At 46.6% G+C, this 25,894-nt stretch overlaps 1 protein-coding gene across 6 annotated transcripts in view, besides 2 other annotated features; it reads left to right on the top strand.

The window, feature by feature from the left end:
* CALN1 (calneuron 1) overlaps positions 1-25,894 on the top strand; it is a 724,789-nt gene that overhangs the window by 48,919 nt on the left and 649,976 nt on the right. For 5 of the 6 annotated variants that reach the window (NM_001363460.1, XM_017012683.2, XM_017012676.3 and 2 more), the window contains exon 1: positions 8,218-8,319. The exons of the other annotated variant lie outside the window; for it this stretch is intronic. The gene's annotated coding sequence lies outside the window, so the exon portion shown is untranslated. Of the gene's footprint in view, positions 1-8,217; positions 8,320-25,894 lie in introns of those variants that run through there. 6 annotated transcript variants of the gene reach the window in all.
* Positions 7,357-7,857: an enhancer, noted in NCBI's record as "H3K4me1 hESC enhancer chr7:71912489-71912989 (GRCh37/hg19 assembly coordinates)". NCBI's record gives its function as "activates a minimal SCP1, AML or CMV promoter by ChIP-STARR-seq in naive H9 embryonic stem cells {active_cell/tissue: H9 hESC(naive)}" and the evidence as "EXISTENCE:reporter gene assay evidence [ECO:0000049][PMID:30033119]".
* Positions 7,858-8,358: an enhancer, noted in NCBI's record as "H3K4me1 hESC enhancer chr7:71911988-71912488 (GRCh37/hg19 assembly coordinates)". NCBI's record gives its function as "activates a minimal SCP1, AML or CMV promoter by ChIP-STARR-seq in naive H9 embryonic stem cells {active_cell/tissue: H9 hESC(naive)}" and the evidence as "EXISTENCE:reporter gene assay evidence [ECO:0000049][PMID:30033119]".

Here is a 25,894-nt window from a genome sequence, read left to right as displayed (position 1 = left end):
ACACACACACACACACACACACACACACACACACACACATATATATATATATTGTTTCTAGAAACATGGCCTTCCTCTGTTGCCAGGCTGGAGCACAGTGGTGTGATCATAGCTCACTGCAGCTTCAAACTCCTGGGCTCAAGTGATCTTCCTGCCTCCGCCTCCAGAGTAGCTGAGACTACAGGTGCACTCCACCATGCCCAGCCAGAAATTTCTTGTAAGAGAGCAGAGGCCGGGCGCGGTGGCTCACACCTATAATCCCAGCACTTTGGGAGGCCAAGGTGTGCGGATAATCTGAGGTAGGGAATTTGAGATCAGCCTGACCAACACGGAGAAACCCTGTCTCTACCAAAAATACAAAATTAGCTGGGCATGGTGGGGCATGCCTGTAATCCCAGCTACTCAGGAGGCTAAGGCAGGAGAATCACTTGAACCCGGGAGGTGGGGTTTGCAGTGAGCGGATATGGTGCCATTGAACTCCAGCCTTGGCAATAAGAGCGAAACTCCATCTCAAAAAAAAAAAAAGAGACCAGAGAAGAGATCAGTAGGGCTTAACTGAAGCCAGCAGCAGTGGGAACGGAGAGGAGGAGACAGCTGAGGGCCGTATTTCTAAGATAGCACAAATAAATCACATTTGATGTGGTGTGCTGGAAGAGTGGAGAGGGGTAGGACGATGATCTGAAGTGTTGCAAAGACATTTTTCTTCCTCTCCCCACATTTTTGCTCCTTCCTGTAGTGAAGGAATACTTCTGTTTTGTTCTCTGGGCTTTTGCCTTTCTGCCAATCGCTTTCTATAAGGAGGAGAACTTGTGAATCCCTGACCTGAGCTGGGACCTGGATTAGTGGCAGGGTCTGGTGTCTGTGGTCAGAAAGTTCATTGCCATTCAAAACTGGTCACTTTATTGATCTTCCTGTTTTTTTGCAGACAGCCCAGTGGGACAGGGCGTTCATTACTTGAAGCTGGCCTCTTTCAGCTGCCCCTCTCTCTGTGTCTGGTGGGTGCCTGATCAAGCCTGCTCTCCAGGTCTCATCACCCCTGATGGTCTCCCTCCTCCCAGTGGAGACACCACAGTCATCTCTTAGACCTCCTAGCCTAGGGCAGCTTCTCCAGGCACTGCCTGGGGCTCCTCTATTCTTTGCATGATTCTCAGAGCAGAGATCCCACAGATGATGAATTGAGAGCTGAATTGAGGCCTTCCAATTCCCTAACAACCTACACTAACCAAGTTCTAAAAATATTAGTAAAACGTACGGACATTTACCTAACACACCTAACACAATTAGATAACAAGCTGTGCTGGTATTCCATTTAATTCTCCCAAAGCAAAGTTTTTTAGTTGCCCATGAATATATATATATATATATATTTTTTGGTTGTGAATTCACTACATCTAAAATTAGACTTGGAATATTGTTTCTTCTTGATATACTAATGTGGTTTAATAAATGACAAATACGTAATACAAGGATGTGCCAGCGGGCTCCAACTTAAGGAATGATCTTAAAACTTCACTCTCTCTTATAATTCCTTTCATGTTTCCATGTTGACATTTATACTCCAAAGTGCATTATCTGTGCCCAGCTGTTCAGATTAGGGCTGCACCATGGCTATGAGAACACTCCAATTTGGAATCTCCAAGGAAAATTCTTGTCCGGTCAGGAAAACAAAATCCACATGAGATGTTTCAAACAGATGGCATTTCATACAGATGATTAGTTGCACAGGAACTGGAAAGCTGAAAAAACCCAGAGATTTGTAATTGCAAGAGTAGCTAATGAGATAGTAGGTGGGACTTGACTGTGGACCAGATTGAAGACTGGCTGAAACAGGGAAGAGGCACCTAAAGCATTTTTCCATAAGACATGCCCACCAGCATCATGACTGTTTACCATTGCCATGGCAACATCCAGAAGTTACCACCCCTTTCCAGGGCAATGACCCGGAAGTTACTATCCCTTTTCTAGAAACTTCTGAATAGCCTGCCCCTTAATTTGCATGTAATTAAAAGTGCGTATAAATATGACTGCAGCACTGCCCCTGAGCTGATACTCTCCACACACTGTGGGGTAGCCCTGCTATGCAGGAGCAGTCACGGAGCTATAACACTGCCCCTTCAATAAAGCTGTTTTCTTCTGCCATCAGCTTGCTCTTGAATTCTTTCCTGAGTGAAGCCAAGAAACTTCCCAGCCTAAGCCCCAATTTTGGGGTTCACCTGCCCTGCATTACTACTACCACTAGGGCTGGGGGAAAGAAAAGTAAGATGTGATTTGCCTGGCTTAGGAAGGGCTGGACCTCTGAGGGGTGCAGTGAGGCTGGCATCAGCAGAACCAAAGCTTGCTGGAGGCTTGAGCCAACTCTCTGCTGCTTTCCTTTCTCCTTGCCTTCCCATCTCCTGAGTCCTCCTTTGACTGAATCTAACAGGAAGCCGGCAGGTAGGAGCACTAGTAATTGTGGTCTGGAGAGCCTGGCCCCCACATTGCAGAGTCTCTGTGGGTATCCTGGAGCTGAGGGGCAATGGGAAGTAACCAGCACAAAACCAGATTTACATACAGGCCAATTTTGAAGCTCCACAAAAATCACTCCCACCTTAAACAGATATTAGGCCTCCTGGATTCTATTCTGATAAGCTTATCTCTTAGAGGTTCAATAAAGCTAAGCTCCCTGAATTAGTCTGTTTTGCACTGCTATAAAGGAGTACCTGAGGCTGGGTCATTTATAAAGAAAAGGTTTATTTGGCTCACAGTTCCACAGACTGTACAAGAAACATGACACAAACATCTGCTTCCGGTGAGGTGTCAGGAAGCTTCTACTCATGGTGGAAGGTGAAGGGGGAGCAGGCATCACGTGGTGAGAGTCAGGAAGGGAGAGAGAAGGAGGAGGAAGGTGCCAGGCTCTTTTTTTAACAATCAAATCTCTTGTTAACTAATAGAGTGAGAATCCACTCATTATCACAAGGAGGGTGCCAAGCCATCCATAAGGGATCCACCCCTGTGACCCAAACACCTTACTCCAGGCCCCACCTCTAACATTGGGGGTCACATTTCAACATGAGATTTGGAGGGGACAGATATCCAAACTGTACCACTGCTGCAGATGGGAATGAGATCAGAGCAGAGACCCCACAAGGAGTGAGTTGAGAGCTGAATTAAAGCCCTCCAGTTCTCTAATAACCTCCCCCATCCAAGTTCCAAAATATTCATAAAATATATTAACATTTACCTAACACACCTAACATAACCAGACAACAAGCAGAATATTAATATGTAAATTATCCATAGTCTTTTGCTGTGCTGGCATATTCCATTCAATTCTCCCAAAGTGAAGTTTCTTTTCCTTTAAAAAATTGATTGTAAATAGAGATGGGGGTATCACTTGTTGCCCAGGCTGGTCTTGAACTCCTGGGGCTCAAGTGATCTTCCCATCTCAGCCTCCTGAAGTGCTGGGATTACAGGCATGAGCCACTGCACCCAGCCCCAAAATAGAGTTTCTTAGTTGCTCCTGATTTTTTTTTTTTAATTCACCACATCTAAAATTAGATTTGGAATATTGTTTCTTCTTGATAGGTTAATTTGGTGTAATAAATGACAAATACATAACACAAGGATGTGCCAGGAATAAACAAAGTGGAGCTTCTCATTTGTCCTTGACTTGTCAATCACCGGGGATGGGGCAGATCATCTTGTGGGCCAAAGGGGTGCCAATGGTGAACCTTAGGCAGGAGCTGAGGGACCGTCTCTTTCTCTCTGGGTTTTAGTTTCTCCTGTTTGGAGGTTGATAGGTCAAGGTAGACATGAGGGTACTCCCTGGTGATGGATGCTGTGGACATCTTACCAGCCCACAGGACCCTAGGGGCCCCAGGAGAGTTGAGTTCTTGTCTTTGGGCAGGTTACCAGCTGCAGCTTCTCTTCTTCTCCTTCTCCTCCTCCCCCTTCCCCAAATCCCCCTCCTACTCCCCCTTCCCCCACTCCTCCTCCTCCTTCTTCTTTCTTATTTTTTCTACTTTTTCTCTTCTTCTCCCTCCTCCTCTTTCTTTCTCCTGCTCCTCCTCCTTCTTCTTCCTCTTCTCTTCCCTTCGCCCCTTCTTCCTCCTTCTCCTCCTCCTCCTCTTCCTCCTCTTCCTCCTTCTCCTCCTCCTCCTCCTCCTCCTCCTTCTTCTTCTTCTTCTTCTTCTCCTCCTCCTGCTCCTCCTCCTCCTCCTTCTCCTTCTTCTCCTTCTCCTTCTTCTTCTCTATCTCTTCTTCTCCTTCTCCTTTCTTCTCCTCCCCCTCCTCCTTCTTCTGCCTGGTCTAAGTTCTGTTCTGAGGAACTGTGGAGAAAGCTGGGGGAAGATATGAACTGTAGCATCCTGGGGCACAGAGCTTCCACAAGGCCGTCATGGTGGCAACTATGGGGACATGATTGAGAGAACTCTAAGGGACTGGAGAAAGGGCAGAGTTGAGGCCACTGCTCCTGCCCCACATGAGGATCCTCTAATCTCAAAAAAATTAGGGCTTTATTTTATTTTTGTTTTCATTTTTATTTTGAAACAGAGTCTCACTCTGTAGCCCAGGCTTCAGTGCAGTGGTGTGATTTCTGCCTCAGCCTCCCGAGTAGCTGGGATTACAGGCATGCACCACCATGCCCAGCTAATTTTTGTACTTTTAGTAGAGATGGAGTTTTGCCATGTTGCCCAGGTTGGTCTCAAACTCTTGGACTCAAGTGATCTGCCTGCCTCAGCCTCCCAAAGTGCTGGGATTACAGGCGTGATCCACCATGCCTGGCTGGGGCTTGATTTTGTTAATGAAAAAGCAGAAATAGACCCAAAGATTTGAGGAGGACGTAGTAGGAATAGTGTTTGGAACTCCCCTGCAGACAATTCCTCGTCATGTGGTCCTTGTTGGCCATCTGTGCTGTGCCATCCTCTGTTGACCTGAGTCCACTTTACTTGGAGATGGCCCACTGGGCGCTGGGGGTCGGGGGGCTCTGGGATTGTGAGTCTGTGGACACTGTTTATGCCAGGTGTACATCCCCCACTTACAACCTCATTATTTCCCACACCTTTCTTTAAGGGGAAGAGAAGATGCAATATGCAAATCTCCTCGGAAAATGGAGGACAAGAAATTGCATGTAACTGATGTCTGACTGGGTGATGGCAGATTTTTATTTTTATTTTTAAAGACAAGAGCTTACTCTGTTGCCCAGGCTGGAGTACAGTAGCACCATCGTGGCTCACGGTAACCTTGAACTCCTGGGATCAAGTGATCCTCCTGCCTTAGCCTCCCAAGTAGCTGAGGCTATAGGTATGCACAAACATGTTCAGCTAGCTTTTAAATTTTTTGTAAAGATGGGATCTTGCTATGTTGCCTAGTCTGGCCTCAAACTCCTGGCCCCAAGGGATCCTCCCTCATCAGCCACCCAAAGCGTTGGGATTACAGGTGTGAGCCACAGTGTCCAGCCTAAATAGCTGACCGAATATTCTTTTTTTTTTTTTTTTTTTTTTTTTTTTGAGACGGAGTCTTGCTCTGTTGCCCAGGCTGGAGTGCAGTGGTGCAATCTTGGCTCACTGCAAGCTGCATCTCCCAGGTTCACGCCATTCTCCTGCCTCAGCCTCCTGAGTAGCTGGGACTACAGGCGCCCGCCACCATGCCCGGCTAATTTTTTTGTGTTTTTTTAGTAGAGACGGGGTTTCACCATGTTAGCCAGGATGGTCTCGATCTCCTGACCTCGTGATCCTCCCACCTTGGCCTCTTAAAATGTTGGGATTACAGGCATGAGCCACCGCGCCCAGCCTGACGGCAGATTCTTTGCTGACAAAGATTTTCCGGCCAGTGGGGGTGAGGGCTGTGGGTATCTAAGGGTGTGAACCAGGCAGGGGTAAAGTGGGCACAGAGGGAGGTTTGCTGGGAAAGCTCAGGGATTTTGCTGAAAGCCTACTCTTTCTGACATTGCCAGTCTGAGCTGGCCCAGTGCAGGGTCCATTTCTTAGAGAAGTGGCTAGGATCTGGGAGATTGTGGCCATTCCGCTCCATCCCTCACGGACTCTGAGGTCCTTAGAGATGATCCTGCTCAGATTTTCTCAAGATTTTTAGGGCATGCCCTCTGCAGTGCGCCGTCCGCATCTGCCAAGAAGATTTGGTCAACCTTGGTGCTGAGATAATTGACAAGCTTTCTAAAAGTCCATATATCCCCTTCCTTCCTTTCCCTTTCTGTTAAGAGCATTACTGGCTTAGTTCAACCCTGTCTAATTTTCAAATTATAAACCCAGGCTCAAAAGGGGAAGGGGGTCAAATGCATGCTCTTAGTAGAGCTGAGATGGGATCTGGGGTTCACTCTGACACTACAGCCCACCTCCCTCCTGGACACCCCTGACACTCACTCCAAGGCACGTACCCTGGAGATCTCTGGCTTCTGAGCACCAATTGGCTGGATTTATTTCACGTGCTTATGAGGGGAAAATGGCATTAAAAAGATCATGCGGCCGGGTGCGGTGGCTCACGCCTGTAATCCCAGCACTTTGGGAGGCCGAGGGGGGAAGATCATGAGGTCAGGAGTTTGAGACCAGCCTGGCCAACATGGTGAAACCCTGTCTCTACTAAAAATACAAAAAATTATCCGGGCATGGTGGTGCACATCTGTAGTCCCAGCTACTCGGGAGGCCGAGGCAGGAGAACTGCTTGAACTCAGGAGACGGAGGTTGCAGTGAGCCGAGACCACGCCACAGCACTCCAGCCTGGGCAACAGAGTGAGACTCCGTCAAAAAAAAAAAAGATCACGCAAGGTGCCACCATATTGACTAAAGAAAGATCTCGGAAAAACCGACTCCATAGTGTGGGATGCCAAGTGCAATGAGCTATTGTGAGGATGAGGTGTGGCGGTCTTAGCCAAGACAGGCTCACAAAGGGACCAGCAGCTGCTCAAGCAGGGGCAAGCAAAAAGAGGCAGCGTGGGAAGGGGGTCTCTGAGGCTGACCCTCTATCCCTGACACAGGAACTGTCCTTGACACAGATTCGTGCTCTATCAAAGGCAGCCGGAGATGCCAGGAACTCCCAACACGGGTTTGCTCTTCCCCTCATCCCTGTGGCTACGTTTCTCTGTTCCACTCCTGGCCATGCTGTGTGTCACAACTACTTCTCTTGGTGATCTGCCTGTAATATGCAGGCAGTGTGTCTAGCTGGCTGCAGGCACATGGCTGGAAAAGTGGGCAAGTAGGTGTGTGTGCATGGGAAGATGTGTGTGCATGAACAGGCATCTATGGGTGTACGGGCAGACATGTGTGTACCTGGGTAGGTGTGTGTGTGTGGTATGTCAGGCATGTGTGTGAGTGTGCATGAGCAGGCATGTGTGAACCTGAGCGGGCATGTGTGTACCTGGGCAGGCATGTGTGTGTGTGTGTGTGTGTGTGCATGGGCAGGCATGTGTATACCTAGGCAGGCGTCTGTGTGTGTACATGGGCAAGCGTGTGTGTATGTGTGTACATGGGCAGGCACGTGTGTGTGGTATGGGCAGGCATGTGTGTGTGCATGGGCAGGAATGTGTGTGTACACGGGTGGGTATGTGTGTACATAGGAATGTGTATGCATATACACGAGCAGGCATGTGTGTGTACATGGGCAGGTGTGTGTACATGTATGGGTAGGCATGTTTGTGCGTGGGCAGGTGTGTGTGCGTGCATGGGCAGGCACGTATGTATAATAGGCAGGCATGGGTGTGTGCATGGCAGGTGTGTGTGTACATGGGTAGGCGTGTGTGCATGCAGCTTACATAAGTGGCAGTGCTCTCAGGAGGGGAGCACACAGTACAGACCAGGTTTCCCACTTTCCCCAGGCAGTGTCCCGTGCAGCCCCGTGTCTGAAGAGGGTGTCACCGATGCCCCCTGCCTCCACGGAGCCCCGCTCTTTCCCTCGGTCTGGAAGACAGCGAGCAGGACCTTGGTACTTCCTAGGGTAGGCAGTGCGTGGGTCCACAGCCCTGTGGTTCCGATTCAAACCATGCAGCCCGAGAGACTCCGGTGTTTCTGGGGGCACTTTTCCACCTTCTCAGCCCCGTTTTCTTGCTGGAGTGAGAGGGCTGCAGGAAGCTTTCCCAGCAGCAGGAGCAGCAGCCAGAGCAGACACGGCAGCAGCCACGGCAGCAGCACTGGCACCCTTCAAATTGGGACTCTAGCCCTTTAAATCTGCTCAGTTACCAAAAAAGAAGAGGCATCAGACCCTGTTAATTAAAGCTCGCCCCGGTCCATCATTCTGAGGAGCTGCAGTGCCCTGCTCCTTCCTGATGGCTTAGAGATTCTCCTTAACTCCCAGCCATGGATCTTGGAGAATTTCCCCCGAGATCAGCAGGAGGTATGACCCTTGCCGATGACACTCTGAAGCTTGTGTGTCTCTCAGTCAATGATATAACTGACTGCATGGATGCTGCCTGCCTTCCCCCTTCTGCTTTTCCTCTTCCCCTCTTCCTCCTCTCCAATTTCCCAGCTTGTGTTTAGTTGAGACAGAATCAAGTTTTGATGGGTTTCCGAGGAAGGGGAGGGGTAGGGAGATCTGGAGGTGGTGGTGGCTCTTGGCACGTTTGTTTTGGCCCCAGCTTCACCCAGCTGTCAAAGTGGTTTGGAGGAGTGGGGAGACACGCTTCTTTCAGCTCTGGCTCATGCAAAACCATTTCCTCCCGGCCGGGTCCTTTCCCCTTGGAGATAATGAAAAGGGCATAACCCTGACTCGACTTGCCTGTCAAATCGGTGCCCTGCCACTCGGTCAGAACATGGCTGTGTGGCTGCACTCCTACGTTATTGGAAAACTCATTCCATACAACTTTCCCTGTAAGTCGTCCCGGAGGAACATCTTGCCGACACCTGTCCCCCCTCCCCGCCCCTGCCCTCATTCTCCCCTCGTCTTTACTCTCTGAACGCTGCTCCTTTCAAATGCTTGCTGTATGATTTCAGGAATTCCTAACCCTGTCCCTTGTGCCTTTTGAGGAAACTCACTTCTAGCCGAGTCTCAGGTTCTGTGGCAAAGAGTTGTTTTGATTCAGGAATCTGCTCTAGCCTGGCAGAGAGAAGGAGTAGATTTATCTTCTTTGTACATTGCATTGTGTAAATTGTACTTGGGCTCAGAGAACATCTATCTGCAAATCCTTCATTGATTTGTTTTTGACCCTCACGGGGTGACTTCTGGGTGAAATGCTCTTTCCGAGTCATACCCAAAGGAAAGATTTCCTTTCCGTCAGCTTGACATGACTCCACAGACATCCCTGAAAGTCAGACTTGGGCAGAGGGAGGCATTTTCATTGGCCTGAGTGACAGTCATCTCTGGGGGTCCCGGGGGCATGGGTTCTTGTGGCTTAGAGGCAGGGTTCTAAGGACTTCCAATTCCCCACCTGGGAGAGGAGCTTGGGAGGGGAAGTGCTTTTACTGAATTTTCCAGGGGCTTTAAAACACGCTGAATGGTTAACATCCCCGTTCAAGTCTTGAGGGGGATCTGAGCCAAAACACAGCTCACGTGAGTAGAGATTTTCCCCCAAAGTGATTGCCTGCAGAGTTCTGAACCATTTCCATGAACGGTAGTTACCGCGTTTGCAGCTAAATCCCTTTGCAATCCCCCAGCCAAGGATGGGCACTTTCTCTGGATGAATGTCCCGGAAGTCAGCCTGTCTGCTTCCCAGACACTGGGGGTGCAATGCATTTTGTATGATCAGAATCATCAAACTCTCCGCTGTGGCAGAAACTCTCTGGTTTAGGAGAGACCATTCAGAACTTATGAGTGAAGCGCTTGATGGAATGAATTATTATCCCCATGCCCATCGGTGGATCTGTGTGGTTGATTTAAAGATTCTAAAGAAGTAACCCCGGGAGAGATGTTTCCTGCAAACAGAAACTCAGCCTGGAGGCCTTGGTCATGCTGGTTAAAGGGAGGAGGCTTTGGGGAGGGTGGCGTTGGAGGTTTGAGGTCATTTTTAAAGGTCGTGCTCTCAGCTGGTCTGTGAGGGTCAGATTCTCACCTGGAGCTGAGGGTAGAAGCGGACTGAGGCCATGGTTAGCCGGGTGAGTTCCTTGAGCTCACAGACCGTTCAGTGGAGAAGGTTCGTCCACACAGCTATAGTCACCTCTTCCTCTGTTGCCTGGTGGCCCAAAGGTCAACAGCCTTCTTTCACTTTCTAGGGGAAGCCAAGAGAGGCTTGAAATAGATGTCACTAACTGTGTTTTTGTATCAGCTGGGGCCCATTAACAATAAGTAATTAAGTAGACTGTTCCTTTGTGTCAAATTTTCTTTTCAACTTAATGTTGTGTGTGTGTGTGTGTGTGTGTGTGTGTGTGTGTGTGTGTGTGTGTGTTTAATTCACTGATGGCTGCTGGCTTTCAAGAAGCTGTACGCAGGTCCCAGTGGAGTTTGTTTAGATCTGGCAACTTTGTGTAGTTCTGTGTTCCGTTGACATTTCTTTAATGGCCGTGGTGGGCTCTTAGCTTACAAGGTGGTGGGAAAGGCATGGCCTTTGGGGACCAACAGACCTTCACTGGAGTCTCAGCTTCACCACACAAGAGCACCTAGCCTGGGCTGCTGATTAATCTCATTGGGCGGGCGTCAGTTTCTCTGTCTGTAACATGGTAGCATTGTCAGGATTAAATGGAGTCATTTAGCTGAAGTCTGTGTATGCAGCTTGTACAAAGGAGTATCTCTTCTTTCAATTGCAGCTGCCTTGAGTTAAGTCAACATTAACACAAAGGATTGGACTGTTTAAATAGTTATAGTGACTCCTGTACTGACTGCTGGACTGTGCCTTTTCTGAGGGCAGGGATGGCCTCCTCCCTGTCACTCTATCTCTCCCAAAAGCTAGCAAAGGGCCTGGCATGGCGTGGAAACAACATAAAAGTTTATTGAATGAATACACACCAGTCTGTGGACACATAACCTTCAACATAGGTGGTTTTTAATGACTAAGCAAAACCAATTCTCACTCAGTTTACTTAAGAAATACAGCTGAGCCAGTTAGATCAAAGAGCCTCGTGACTGTAATAAATTGGGATTAAGATAGATCCATTTGTGGGGAAATTTGAACTGTAATTAAAAAAATGTCTCCTGCACTGGAACCTGTACCGGGTGCCTGCGGACTCCAGGAGTGCCCTGGGAGCTGTTCTGATTGCTAGCAGCCTTCCCTCTTCATGTGCTACTTCCTCTTTTTCATGCTTTGAAGAAGAGAAGAGGCTCTGAAACGGGATAACCGCTCTGAATGGAAAGAGGAGCTTCAACTGCTACTCTGGTGCGTAGTACGAGTCTATCAATATATCAATCCATTAAAAAAGAGTAAGTTGATTTGTGTGGAGACACTTAGTACCTACTGGGGAGAGTCATTGATTTAATAATTTTTTAATTAATTAATTTAGTTTTTGAGACAGAGTCTCACTCTGTCACCCAGGCTGGAGTGCAGTGGCATGATCTCTGCTCACTGCATCCTCCACCTCCCGGAGTTTGCAGTGAGCCGAGATCACACCACTGCACTCCAGCCTGGGCAACAAGAGAGAAACTCTGTCTCAAAAAAATAAAAAAGTTGATCAAAGATAATCATCATCATAAAAGTGAATACCACCACCTAACATTTGCAGAGGGTCTCTCTAGCTAGGGGTTGGAGGAACCCACGTGAGATTGGCTGCCCCCTGTTCTCAAGTAAAGGGATGGGGGCTAAATAGTGTGTGTCATGGGATACATGAGGCATGAGTCTAGTGGATCCTGGGAGGATGATGATCTTGGCCTTGGGAAAGGCTTCTTTCAAGTAGATGATCCCCAAACTGAGTCCCAACAGAGGTGGCTATGAAATATCATCCTAGGCTGAAGAAATTACACATGCAAAGCACAGAGGTGAAAGAAACACTCGAGGGAGTGGCAGCAAATCTGTCTGACCATTATGGGAGGCAATGTGATAAAAGAAGAAGCCGGAGAGGAGACAGGGGTTAGATCCTAAGGGACCCGGGGTGCGTGAAAGGCGGGCACTTCATTTTGAAGGAGATGGAGTCATTGAAGGATTTTTAGCAACGGAATCACTTGGGAAAATTGAATTGAACAAATACGCACTGAGCATTGATCCTTTACCAAACTGTGTCCTACGCACCTGGATGCAGTGGTGAACACAACACCCAAAATCTCCTGCTCTTGCGGAACTTGCAGGCAGAGAAGAAGACAAAAAAATAAGTCACGAAAGGTAAATTGTACATAGCACGTCAGATGGTGACACACGCTCTTGAGAGAAATACAGCCGAGGAGGAGGACGAGGTCCTGAGACAGTGATGAGGCATGGGTGTGTCTGTGCAACCCTTAATAATGCTCAATCCTAAGTGCAATTCTTAACAAAGTGCAATCCTAAATAAGTGCAACCCTACATAAAGTGCAATCCTAAATAAGCACAACCCTTAATAAAGTGCAATCCTAAATAAGTGCAACCCTTAATAAAGTGCAATCCTAAATAAGTGCAACCCTTAACAAAGTGCAATCCTAAATAAGCACAACCCTTAATAAAGTGCAATCCTAAATAAGTGCAACCCTACATAAAGTGCAATCCTAAATAAGCACAACCCTTAACAAAGTGCAATTCTAAATAAGTGCAACCCTACATAAAGTGCAATCCTAAATAAGTGCAACCCTACATAAAGTGCAATCCTAAATAATTGCAACCCTTAATAAAATGCAATCCTAAATAAGTGCAACCCTACATAAAGTGCAATCTTAAATAAGTGCAACCCTTAATAAAGTCCAATCCTAAACAATTGCAACCTTGAATAAAGTGCAATCCTAAATAAGCGCAACCCTTAATAAAGTCCAATCCTAAATAAGCGCAACCCTTAATAAAGTCCAATCCTAAATAAGCGCAACCCTACATAAAGTGCAATCCTAAATAAGTGCAATCTTTAATAAAGTGCAATCCTAAATAAGTGCAACCCTACATAAAGTACAATCCTAAATAAGTGCAGCCCTTAATAAAGTGCAATCCTAAATAGAATGCAATCCTGAATAAATAAAGGTGGCAGCAGAATGAAAACTCTTGGAGGCGTTGTAAGAACTTTGGCTTTTGCTTTGAGTGAGGCGGGAGCCAGCGCTGGGCTCTGAGCAGAGGAGAAACATTTTTAAATGATCCTCCTCACTGCTGTGTTGAGGAAAGATTGTGGGTGGGCAAGGTGGGAACAGGAAGGTCAGCTAGGAGGTGAACATTTAATCAAGGTGAGAGGTGATGGTGGCTGGCCAGTGGGGTACCAATGGAGGTCTGCCAAGTGCTAGGATTCTGAACTTTTTGTTTTTTTCAGGATGGAGGCAATGGGATGTGTTGATGGGTTGGTGAGTTGTGTGAGATGAGTCGAGGATGACTCAAGCTTCCTTGGCCTGAGACGGGGACAGCTGTGGGTGGAGCAGGTTTGGGAGGAGAGCAGGAGTCGGGTGTTTCTCATGTTAAATTGGAGACGTCTGTTGAGGCTCCCGGTGGAGATGTTGAGTGGGCAGTCCTGGGTTCACGAGAGAGATTTGGGCTGGAGACAGCCTTGGGAATCATCAGAGTACAGATGGTATTTAAAGCCATCTCAGATGAGATCATCAGGAGATGGAAGAGACGACGAACTGAGTTCTGAGGCATCACAGCTATTTACAGGTTAAAAAGATGACCAGAAACCCAAACCAGGAGATTGGGAGGGAGGTGCTTCCTTCTTCCTTGTTCAAGACGATTCGCCCTGTTTGTACATTCTACGTCCTCGTCTCTCCTGGGACCAAGACTTATAGCTCATTCTCCCAACTTTTTTTTTTTTTTTTTTTTTTTTGAGACGGAGTGTCGCTCTGTTGCTCAGGCTGGAGTGCAATGGTGCAATCTTGGCCCACTGCAAACTCTGCCTCCTGGGTTCAAGAGATTCTCCTGCCTCAGCCTCCCAAGTAGCTGGGATTATAGGCGCATGTCACCATGCCCGACTAATTTTTATATTTTTAGTAGAGACGGGGTTTCATCCTGTTGGTCAGGCTGGTCTCGAACTCCTGACCTCAGGTGATCCTCCTATCTGGGCTTCCCAAAGTGCTGGGATTACAGGCATGAGTCACCGTGCCTGGCCCTCATTCTCCCAATTTTTAACTTACTCCTTTCTCCTGGCTTCTTCCCACCTCCCTGTAGGTCTGCTCAGATCTTTCTCATCTTAAAAAGAATCTTCCCTTAGCTCCTACTGACTCCTTTAGCTTTTGCTTTCTTGTTCTCTTTTTCTTCACAGATAAACTTTTATTTCTTTCGGCATTCATCAAACAACTGCTGCATACCAGGAGTAAAGAACATGGAAACAAAAGACAGATTTTACCCTACTTGAAAGAATATTTATTTACACCTTGTCTACTTCCATAAAGCATTTTGGATAGCATTTTTTGACATGTATATATAATGAAATAAAAAATATATGATCATAAACTAAACATAAAAAATTTTGTACCAAAAAATTTGTATTTGTATTCTAAAATACAATTTAGAACAGAGGAGCAAGATCAGTACAAAAAACAGAATGCAGAAATAAAGGTCATAAGATTCTATGGTATTATTATTATTGTTTGTTTTTGAGACAGAGTCTCGCTCTGTTGCTGAGGCTGGAGTGCAGTGGTGCGATCTCAGCTCACTGCAACCTCTGCCTCCTGGGTTCAAGCAATTCTCCTGTTTCAGCCTCCGGAGTAGCTGGGATTACAGGCATAAGCCACCACACCCAGCTAAGTTTTGTATTTTTAGTAGAGATGGGGTTTCCTCATATTGGCCAGGCTGATCTTGAACTCCTGGCCTCAAGTGATCCGCCTGCCTCAGCCTTCCAAAGTGCTGGGATTACAGGCTTGAGCCACTGTGTCTGGCCAGATTCTATTTTATTTTAATTTTGAGAGACAAAGTCTCACTATGTTGTCCAGGCTGGTCTTAAACTCCTGGCCTCGAGTGATCCTCCCACTTTGGCCTCCCAAAGTATTGAGATTACAGACATGAGCCCCTGTGCCTGGCTGGTCATAAAACTGTATAAGAATATAATTGAGCCTCTAATCTGATCAGAACTTTCTGGTCAGAAAACAGAAAATGGGGATTTCTTAAAAAAATTTACCAGTGCTCTGAGATAATCATTGTATGGGTGAATACATCTTTGGGTTTTGGGTATTCTGGGTGCTACCTAACCAGGACCCAGACCAAGAAATAGGACATGGTCTGCACCCCAGTGCCACCCCGTGATCATTTCCAGTTGGTTCTCTCTCCGGGGACTGACATTAACCATTTGTCTGTTTTAAACTATTTTGGGAATTGCTTTCTGAGTTTTGTTGTCCGTGAGATGATATGCTAGTTCCTTAAGGAAAACCAAAGCTTTCTGGCATTTAATTCGAAAAGAATACAGTTGATCCTTGAACAATTTGGGTTTGAACTATAAGGGGCCACTTATACATGGATCTTTTTCTGCCTCCACCACCCCTGAGACAGCAACACCAACCCCTCTTTTTCTTCCTCCTCCTCAGCCTCCTCAATGTGAAAAAGACAAGGAGAGGCCCGGCACAGTGGCTCACGCCTGTAATCCCAGCACTTTGGGAGGCCGAGGCGGGTGGATCATGAGGTCAGGAGTTCAAGACCAGCCTGGCCAAGATGGTGAAACCCCATCTCTACTACAAATACAAAAAAATTAACCAGGCATTGTGGCGGGCGCTTGTCATCCCAGCTACTCAGGAGGCTGAGGTAGAGAATTGCTTGAACTCAGGAGGCGGAGGTTGCAGTGAGCCGAGATTGCGCCATTGCACTCCAGCCCGGGCGACAAAGCGAGACTCCATCTCAAAAAAAAAAAAAGAATAAACGACAAGGATAAAGACCTTTATGATGATCCACTCCCACTTAATGAATAGTCAATATATTTTTTCTTCTTCATGATATTTTAATAACATTTCCTCTTCTTTAGCTTACTTTATTGTAAGAATACAGAATATATTACATGTAACACACAACATATGTGTTAATCAACTGTTTACGTTATCAGTAAGGCTTCCAGTCAACAGTAGGCTATTAGCAGTCAAGTTTTTGGAGATTCAAAAGTCATATGTGACTGGGCATAGTGGCTCATGCCTGTAATCCCAAGACTTTGGGAGGCTGAGGTAGGAGGATTGCATGAGCTCAGGGGTTTGATACCAACCTGGGCAACATGGCGAAACCCCATTTCTATAAATAATTTTAAAAATTAACTAGTTATGATGGTGTGTGCCTGTAGTTACAGCTACTCGGGAGGCTAAGGAGGGAGGATCACTTGAGCCCAGGAGGCTGCAGTGAGCTATAATGGCGTCACTGCACTCCAGCCTTAGCAACAGAGTGATGCGCTGTCTCCAGAAAAAAAGAAAAAGTCGTATGCAGATTTTCAACTGCATGGGGTAGGGGGAGCAGCACCCCTAACCCCCACAGGGTTTGAGGTTCAACTGTATTTTCTTCTGAGGTTTCCTTTAAGGAATGTTGAAAAGTTAGGTGGCTTGTACCTTGTCTATTTCCATAACATACTTTGGATAGCATGCAAATTTATATGTGTGTAATGAAACATAAAATATAAACTTATAAGCTAAGGCGAAGAGTGGCAGCTATTTGGCATCGCTTGAAGCCCAACCAGGGGCAGTCAGAAGGTAGAATCTGGAGAGGATGGAGTGTTAAATGCCAACGAGATGAAGCAACATAAGGCCTGGAAGTGTCCCTCGGAGTTAGAAAGTAGGAGGCAGCCAGCCAGGTTCCTGGAGTGATGGAGGTAGAAGCCAGATTGAGGGAGGAGGTCAAGGAAGGAATAAGAGATTTGCTGTGATGTCTCTACGTGGCGGCTACTATTTTAAGACGGTCTATTCTCATGGGAAGGGAGAAAAGATGGCAGGTAGAAGACCTTGCAAAACATAAGGAAGGATTTTGTTTATTTCTCGATAGAATGAGGGAGACTTAATCGTGTTTTTGGAGAAATAGGGAGTCAAGAAATACAGGCAAGGCTGGGTGCCGTGGCTCACTTCTGTAATCTCAACACTCTGGGAGGCTGAGGTGGGAGGATGGCTTGAGCCTAGGAGTTCAAGGCCAGCCTAGGCAACATAGTGAGACTCCATCTCTACAAAAAACAAAAATAAAAATAATGAGCCAGGGATAGTGGTGCATGCCTGGAGAACCAGCTACTCAGGAGGCTGAGGCAGGAGGATTGCTTGAGGCCAGGGGTTTAGAACAGCCTGGCACCATAGCGAGACCTCATCTCTACAAAAAATAAAAAGAAAAACGAATTAGCTGGGTGTGGTGGCGCATGCCTATAGAACCAGCTGCTTGGGAGGCTGAGGTGGGAGGATCATTGGAGCTTAGGAGTGAAGGCTGCAGTGAGCCATGATTGAACCACTGCACTCCAACCTGGGCAACAGACTGAGACTCTATCTCAAGAAGAAAGAAAGAGAAGGGAAGGGAGAAAGAAGGAAGGAAGGAAGGAAGGGAGAGAGGGAAGGAAGGGAGAGAGGGAAGGGAAGGAGGGAGGGAGGGAGGAAGGAAGGAAAGAAAGAAGGAAGAAAAGAAAGAAGGAAGGAAGGGAGGATGGAAGGGAGGGAGGAAGGAAGGAAAGAAGGAAGGAAGGTAGGAAGGAAAGGAAGGAAGGGAGGAAGGAAAGAAAGAAGGAAGGAAAGAAAGGAAGGAAGGGTGGGAGGGGGGAAGGAAAGAAGGAAGGAAAGAAAGAGAGAGGGAGGGAGGAAGGAAAGAAAAAAGGAAAGAAAGAAAGAAAAGAAAGAAAGAGAGAAAGAGAAAGAAAAAGAAAGAAAGGCAAAAGATATAGAGGAGAGAAAAGATAGTTAAAGCAAGCAAAGACCTAAAAAGATAAATTTGCATGCTGTGGACACACACACACACACACACACTCCACACAACTGGGTTTCTCACCTTCTTTAACTTTTCCTGGTGACAGACCCTTCTCCTTGCCATTGTTCTCTTTTGTTTTGAAGCTAAAACAGCCCTTAGCAACCAAACTTGACCCACTCAGGCTTCTCTCTAGTGAAAGGGGCACTGTCTGTAATCTGTCAACTTTATTTCAGCCATCAGTCCCAGAATGTCAGGACTGCCAGGGAGGGGCCTTAGTGAGTGTCCAGCCTGTGTTCTTATTTTCCGAATGAAAAAACTGAGGCCCATGATTTCCTGGCAAGGTAGAGAGAACAGCAGAGCTAAACCCCAGATCGCCAGACTACTTGACTGTATTTCCAGAACTCCCTAGTTCCAGGCATTTTCAAAACTCTCCCTCCTAATCTCTAAAATTTGAGTGTTTCTAAAATTTCAGCAAGCACCAAAATCATCTAGAGGTTCCTTTTTTTTTTTTGAGACAGGGTCTCATCTGGTCACCAGGCTGGAGTGCAGTGATGCAATCACAGCTCACTGCAGACTTGTCCTCCTTGGCTCAAGCAGCTCAAGCCTCCCTGCTTAGCCTCCCAAGCAGCTGGGACTACAGGTGTGTGCCACCACGCTTGGCTAATTTTTTATTTTCTGCAGAGACGAGCCCTCGCTGTGTTGCCCAGGCTCATCTAGAGGTTTTGTCAAGACAGACTTTTTGGGCCCCACCCCTTCTGAATTTCTGATTCAGTAGGGCTGGGAAGAGGCTGAGAATTTGCAGCATCAACAGCTTTCCCAGGTGATGCTGAGGCTGCTTGTTTGGGCCCACGCTTGGAGAACATTATTTAAGAGGGGGTGTGCCCAGAGCAGGCAGGGAGGGAGTGAGAGCAGCTAGACTGGGGCCCCTAGAAGCAAGCATCTTCTCTGACCTGATCTCATTTCCCTTGGGTCAGGCCTGAATGAGGTGTAGGTGGCCAGCTGCCAGGCCCAAGAAGATCAACACCATTTCACCTCCTAGTCACCAAGAGACTTAAGGAATGCAGTTGTATTAGTCTGTTCTCATGTTGCTGATAAAGACATACCCGAGACTGGGTAATTTATAAAGAAAAAGATGTTTAATGGACTCACAGTTCCACGTGGCTGGAGAGGGCTCACAATCATGGAAGCTGAAAGGCACAAGGCACATCTTACATGGTAGCAGACAAGAGAGAATTTGTGCAGGGCAACTCCCCCTTATAAAACCATCTGACCTCGTGAAACTTAGTCACTATCATGAGAACAGAATGGGGGAAATCACCTCCATGATTCAATTACCTCCCATGGGGTCCCTCCCAGGACACGTGGGGATTATGGCTACAATTCAAGATGAGACTTGGGTGGGGACACAGCCAAACCATATCAGCAGTGTAGCAGGCTGAGCCCTGGGACTAATCCCAGGAACCAGGCTGTCATTAAATACAGCACTGTCTGTGCTTTTACGTCTTTCTGCCTTCTATGGAGAGGGAATCACAGGGAAGCTGGCCATTTAGACCCAGGCTGGGGGGCATCTCATAGCTCACATTTCCCTTGCAGCCACTCTGAGGCCAGCACCCCTTTGTCACTCCCCAAGGGAATGGGTAGTGCCCAGCTGGGTGAGACTCAAGGTTCCTCTTGAGCTTATTCCATTATCTTGGCACTCAGAGCATATGTCAAGTGAATTCTGTGTCTCTGGCAGGTTATTACACGCTGAATTAGTGTAGTGAAATAAAAACTATAATAAAGCTGTACCACACTGTTAAATTGTTAAAATTTATTAGAAAATGTGCACAGTTATTAACTGATTTTCGCCTGTGTGCATTTGCTTGTGCCGGAGCCAGGGAAGATGAAAAGCGGCTCTGTCAAACGGAGGCTGAGGGTTGGCTCCTGGAATTCTCCAGAGAGCCCTAAGTGGGACAGCACGTTCACAAATTCACAGAGCGCTGCTGGCCTCTCCGCGCTGGCTGCTGCCTCGCTTCTGTGCTGCCTGAGGCTCTCCGGGGCTGCAATTGTGGTCCCAGGGGAAGGAAACCCATCTGTCCACTTCCAGGAGGCCCCCGCAGGCCGAGGGAGGCGTGGATGAATGGGGCCTTGCGTTTCTCCAGTGTTTACACTTAGGAGGCACAGTTACTCACCGTCTCTAGTCTTCAGACAGAATGTTTGAGCCCAGGAAAGCTATTGTAGATGAGCTTCCACCACATTCTCGTCTGCTCTCTCTGCTGGCCTGTTTCCTATGTCTCTTCCCCCTTCTCGTTCCCCTTCCCCTTCCCCTTCCCTTCCCTTTCTTTTCTTTTTCCTTTTTTTTTTTTCCTTAGAGACTGGATTTGGCTCTGTTGCCCAGGCTGGAGTGCAATGGTGCAATCATGGCTCACTGCAGCCTCGAATTCCTAGGCTCAAGTGATCCTCCCACCTCAGCCTTCTGAATAGCTAGGACTACAGGCACATGCCACCATATCCAGCTAATTTTTTTAAAAAAACCATTTTTGTAGATACAGGGTCTTGTTATGTTGCTCAGGCTGGTCTCACAACCCTAGCCTCAAGTAATCCTTCCACCTTGGCCTCCCAAAGTGCTTGGATTACAGGTGTGAGCCACCATGCGTGGCCCCTACCCTGCCTTTTGAAAACCCAAAGAAGAAGCCAAATTTTTCTTAGCTCAGCTAGGGCCATTTCTGGATTGCTTCATCAGCAAGGAACTGGTTATTGACTGTCCAGGCCTCGCATGAAGTGCAGAAATGCAGCAAAAAAGTTTTTCCTGCTGTTCTGCTCTGTGGGGAGTTGGAGGATGATGTTTACTCGTTTTCAGAGACAGGGAGACATGCTTTTAGTCCTTAGTCCTTCAGATGAAGGGAGCCCTCCATGGTCTTATAGCTAAGAGAGCTTACCTTGCTGCCTCTCCCCCTGGAAAGATCTTTCCAGTAACTAATTCTACCATTCTTTGTAAATTCTCCTTCTCCTTCTTCTTCTCCTTCTTCTTCCTCTTCCTCTTCCTCTTCCCCTCCTTCTCCTTCTCCTTCTCCTTCTCCTTCTTCTGATGGAGTCTCGCACTGTCACCAGGCTGGAGTGCAGTGGCATGATCTTGGCTCACTGCAACCTCTGCCTCCTGGGTTCAACCGATTCTCTTGCCTCAGCCTCCCGAATAGCTGTGATTACAGGTGCCCGCCAGTACGCCCAGCTATTTTTTTTTTGTTTTTTTTTTTTTTGGTATTTTAGTAGAGACGGGGTTTTAGCATGTTGGCCAGGCTGGTCTCAAACTCCTGACCTCAGGTGATCCACCCGCCTTGGCCTCCAAAAGTGCTGGGATTACAGGCATGAGCCACTGTGCCTGGCTGGTAAATTATTTTTATCCTAAAAAAAAGAAATGTTATTTTCCTATTTGTTAACTTTAAGCACTCTTCCTTGATTTGGGGGTGAGGTGGCAAGCAGAGAGTGAACTAGAAAACAGGAAGTGATTTGTGCAAATCCAATATGCAGTTTTTTTTTTTTCTTTCAGGAACAGGGTCTCACTTTTTCACCCAGGCTGGAGAGCAGTGGCATGATCATAGCTCACTGCAGCTTTGAACTCCTGGGCTCAAGTGATCCTCTGCCTCAGCTTCCCGAGTAGCTGAGACTACAGGTGTGTGCCACCACCCTGCCTGGCTAATTATTATTATTATTAGCAGAAATGGGGCCTTGTTATGTTGCCCAGGCTGGTCTGGAACTCCTGGCCTCAAGCGACCTTGGCCTCCCAAAGCTCTGGGATTGCAGTCGTGATCCACTGTGCCCCGCCTCCAATGTACATTTTGAATCAGAGCCCATAAGACCTATCTTTGAGTTGATAGCAGCATCCGCATTGGTTTACTAGCCCTGGGTCCTTCTTGCTACCCTGAGACCCAGCTAGATTGTAAATTCACCTGAAGCCTGAGATGCTTCTGCTTGAGAAGAAGTAGGGAAGCAGAGCCAAAACTGAGAGTTTTCTGGAGTCTCTGCCACTGTGCTCGGGTGTTTCTCTTGGGGTTTCCATGGATTTCTACTTAGGAGCCGCAAGCACCCAGGATGGGGTAGCAGGGCATTGCTTCCTGATCTTGGGGAGGGCTCCCAGCCTTGGCATAATCTGTGGGATCCATGGCGAACTGAAAAACTCAGGGCCAGTGTGGGAGAACTCTTGGGTTTTTTAGTCCCCTGTTTCTTCTAACCAGTTTCTTTTTTGTTCCTGTTTATATAGCACAGCTGATGCATGCTAAGAGTTGGGAGGAGACTGCTCGGTTGAATTCCTGCTGTCTTGTGGATGTGTTCTCTTGTTTGGATAGCAGTTAATCTATTTTTCTGTCCCGGGGACACTTTAGGCTGCTACCTGGTCAGGGGGCTGCTGGAGGGCGATCAATATCTCAAAGACTTCTCCAAGGGGCAGGTTCCTTTCCCCCTTGTAGTGAGTGATTCAGAGGAAAATGGAATTATACCAGCAGAAATTTAAGACACCCAAGCTCCAATGAGATTGTCCAACACCCTGAATCTTCCTTTTCTGCGCTTGAGCCTAAAGATAGTCCATAGGGTGTGTAGAAAGAGTAACAAATGTTGGGTTCAAACAGAGCCATGGCCTTGTTCTTTTCCCGCCTCTCCTTGATGTGCTGTCTAGAAGATAACACGATTACATGAATATGTAATGCAGGGAAATCTAGTTAGTTTACTAGCACCGTCTTTTTGCCGAGGCAGATCGATTTCCTGGTTTTAAAAGACAGTAAAATTGCTGATGTGAGAGCTGGTGCTTGCTGAAGCATGTCATAAAGTAGCCAACTTCAGAGAGCCCTGGTGCACTGCAGAAACCCAACATTTAGGATCCATTTATATACTCTCCACCTTGTTCCAGAAAGGATGCAAGGTGATTTGCAAAGATGAGTATCCAATTACAGGACATAATTAAATGAAAAAATAAATAGACAATGAAAACAAGACAAAGGGAAAAGCAGTCCGGGAAGGCAAGGATGGAGCCAGGAATGAGGTTAGGAGACAAAATTCATGGGGTGGCCCTGAGCTTTCTTTCAGCCAACACAGAGAGGGAAACAGTCCCTTGTTACAGACCCAGCATCTATGTGATGAAAGCAAGCAGCTGCTCAGGAGACGCACAGCTATTTCTGTTCCCGGAGGCAGAGAGAATATTGCCCATGGGTCCTTGTATTAGTCTGTTCTCATGCTGCTAATAAAGACATATCCAAGGCTGGGTAATTTATAAAGAAAAAGAGGTTTAATGGACTCAAAGTTCCACATGGCTGGGGAGGCTTCACAACCATGGCAGAAGACGAAGGAGGAAAAAAGGCACGTCTTACATGGTGGCAGGCAAGAGAGTGTAGGCAGGAGAACTGCCCTTTATAGAACCATCAGGTCTCATGAGACTCACTCACTATGACCAGAACAGCACAGGAAAACCCACTCCCATGATTCAGTTACCTCCCACTGGGTCCCTCCCACGACACATGAGGATTATAGGAGCTACAATTCAAGATGAGATTTGGGTGGGGACACAGCCAAATCATATCAATCCTCAAAGGGAAGACATGGCATAATGCAATAATAGTGTCCCGAACAGTCTCACAGTTCATGATGGCAAGGAGTTTAATAGGACTGGCTGCCTCCTCTTGTAATATTCCTCAAGATTAGGAGGTGGTTAGGGAGGTAGAGCTGTCCCAAAACATTCTCTGATAGTCTGACTTAGTTTTTTTTTTTTTTTTTGGAGATGAGGTCTCACTCTTTTGCCCCAGTTGGAGTAGTGTAATAGCATGATTATGGCTCCCTGCAGTTTTGAACTCCTGGACTCCAAAGATCCTCTGACCTCAGCCTACCAAGTAGCCAGGACTACAGGCACGCATGACCACACTCGGTAATTTTTAAATATTCTGTAGAGACGAGGTCTCTCTCACTGTGCTACCCAGGCTGGTCTCGAACTGTTGGCCTCGAACGATCTTCCAGCCTTGGCCCCCCAAAGTGCTGGGGTTATAGGCATGAGCCACTGCACCTGACTTAATCTGACTTAGCGCTTAGATTACCTATGGTGGGCTGCCTTCCCTCCAAGTCATTCTCTATGGCAAGTGATTCCACGGAGTGGCAATAGAGGCTGCTGCAGTGTTAAGTTGTGCATGCGTGTGTGCATGTGGGTGTACACATGTGTGCGTGTGTGCTGGAGGAATGCCAAAGGATTGGGGTGCAGAGATCAGGAGGGTTCTGTTTCCCCCAAACCCTCAGTTTTTTTGTAATTTTCATGTTGGAGTTCCTCATAATATTTTACCTGAAGAAAAGGGCCCACCACTACTAATAATAGCTTTATTAGTGGTTGAGAAAAATAGATTGGTGCCCGGCTCAGTGGCTTATGCCCGTAATCCCAGCACTTTGGGAGGCTGAGGCCAGTGGATCATTTGAGGTCAGGAGTTCGAGACGAGCCTGGCCAATATGGTGAAACCCTGTCTTTACTGAAAATACAAAAATTAGCCGGGTGTGGTGGCACAGGCCTGTAATCCCAGCTACTCGAGAGACTGAGGCAGGAGAATCGCTTGAACCCGGGAGGCGGAGGTTGCAGTGAGCCGAGACTCCATCTCAAAAAAAAAAAAAAAAAAAAATAGCTTGGCTTCACTCCATGGGTAGTTATTTTCCCAACACTGTGAGCACTGGGCGAGGAATTTTGAGATAATTCTCCTTGACAAAAACTTGGAGGGCAGTTGCCTTGGGCTGCTGGTTGAGTGCAACCCCATATGCTTTAACAGTTGGTAGAGCCGGAGGTGGCACTGAAATCCTCTTAGGAACAGGGAACAGGTGACCAGGACACCTTCCGGAACAGGATACCATGCAGAGCGCAGGTACAGCCAGACCGGGTCCTTAGAGCTGGCATTGCTTCTGATTGGTTGGTGCTCGGCTCACCTTCATTTTGATTGGTCAGTGCATGCGCCCTACAGGTGGTTAAATACTGACATTCACCTGTGTGTGAGCAGGCTGAGAAGCCCCTTGAGGGGAATATTTAGGGTCCCATGTGAAGTCCAGGCAAAAGGTGTAACAACATCCCAAGTGTTGACCCTGGTAGAAAAACGTTTATCCAGAAAACACTTAAAGCAGGTGACCTAAACAGCCACCTCAGTAATTAACCTCCCTGTAAAATTTTATGTTTAACCTTAAACATCATAATTTCCTGGTGTATCGTATTACAAATTGACCACAAATTAAATACCTAGGTCTTAGAATTTATATATATATAATTATTATATCTGTTAAAATATGTATAATTATTATAGATACAAATATATAATTATTATAGATAAATATATATTTTCTATAAATTTATAATTATTATGTGTAAATATATAATCTATAAATATAATTATTATGTAGAAATATACATTACCTATGTATAAATATACGATTATATATAAATCTATAATAATTACATATATTTGTTAAAATATATAATTACAGGCCGGGCGGTGGCTCACACCTGTAATCCCAGCACTTTGGGAGACCAAGGTGGGCAGATCACCTGAGATCAGGAGTTTGAGACCAGCCTGGCCAACAAGGTGAAACCCTGTCTCTACTAAAAGGACAAAGAATTAGCTGGGCATGGTGGCAGGTGCCTGTAATCCCAGCTACTCGGGAGGCAGAGGCAAGAGAATCACTTGAACCCAGTGGGACAGAGGTTGCAGTGAGCCGAGATCACACCATTGCACTCCAGCCTGGGTGACAGAGCAAGACTCCATCTCAAATATATATATAGACACACACATACATATATACACACACATATATACATATAGATGTATATACATATATATATACAGATGTGTATATATATATATACACAGACATATATATAATTACATATAATAATTATATATATTTATGTAATATATATAGAGATATTCTAAGGGAGTTAAATCATGAAGAATGTGAGAAGTTTTTGTTTCTTTTAAATGATGACATTGAGTTTCAGAATAGCTATTCTACATGCTTTCTTTTTGGCAGTAATCTCAGATCAAAGCCACTTGTCTACAACAGCTGCTACTAATTCATAACCATAAAACCATGTCCTCCGTTGAAAAGAGAACGGTGATGATTTTGTTCTTTGTCAGC

Source organism: Homo sapiens, chromosome 7, assembly GCF_000001405.40.
Source record: "Homo sapiens chromosome 7, GRCh38.p14 Primary Assembly".
Taxonomy (NCBI): domain Eukaryota; kingdom Metazoa; phylum Chordata; class Mammalia; order Primates; family Hominidae; genus Homo; species Homo sapiens.
The sequence above is the reverse complement of the archived record's forward strand: the minus strand, read 5'-3'. Positions and strand labels throughout refer to the sequence as shown.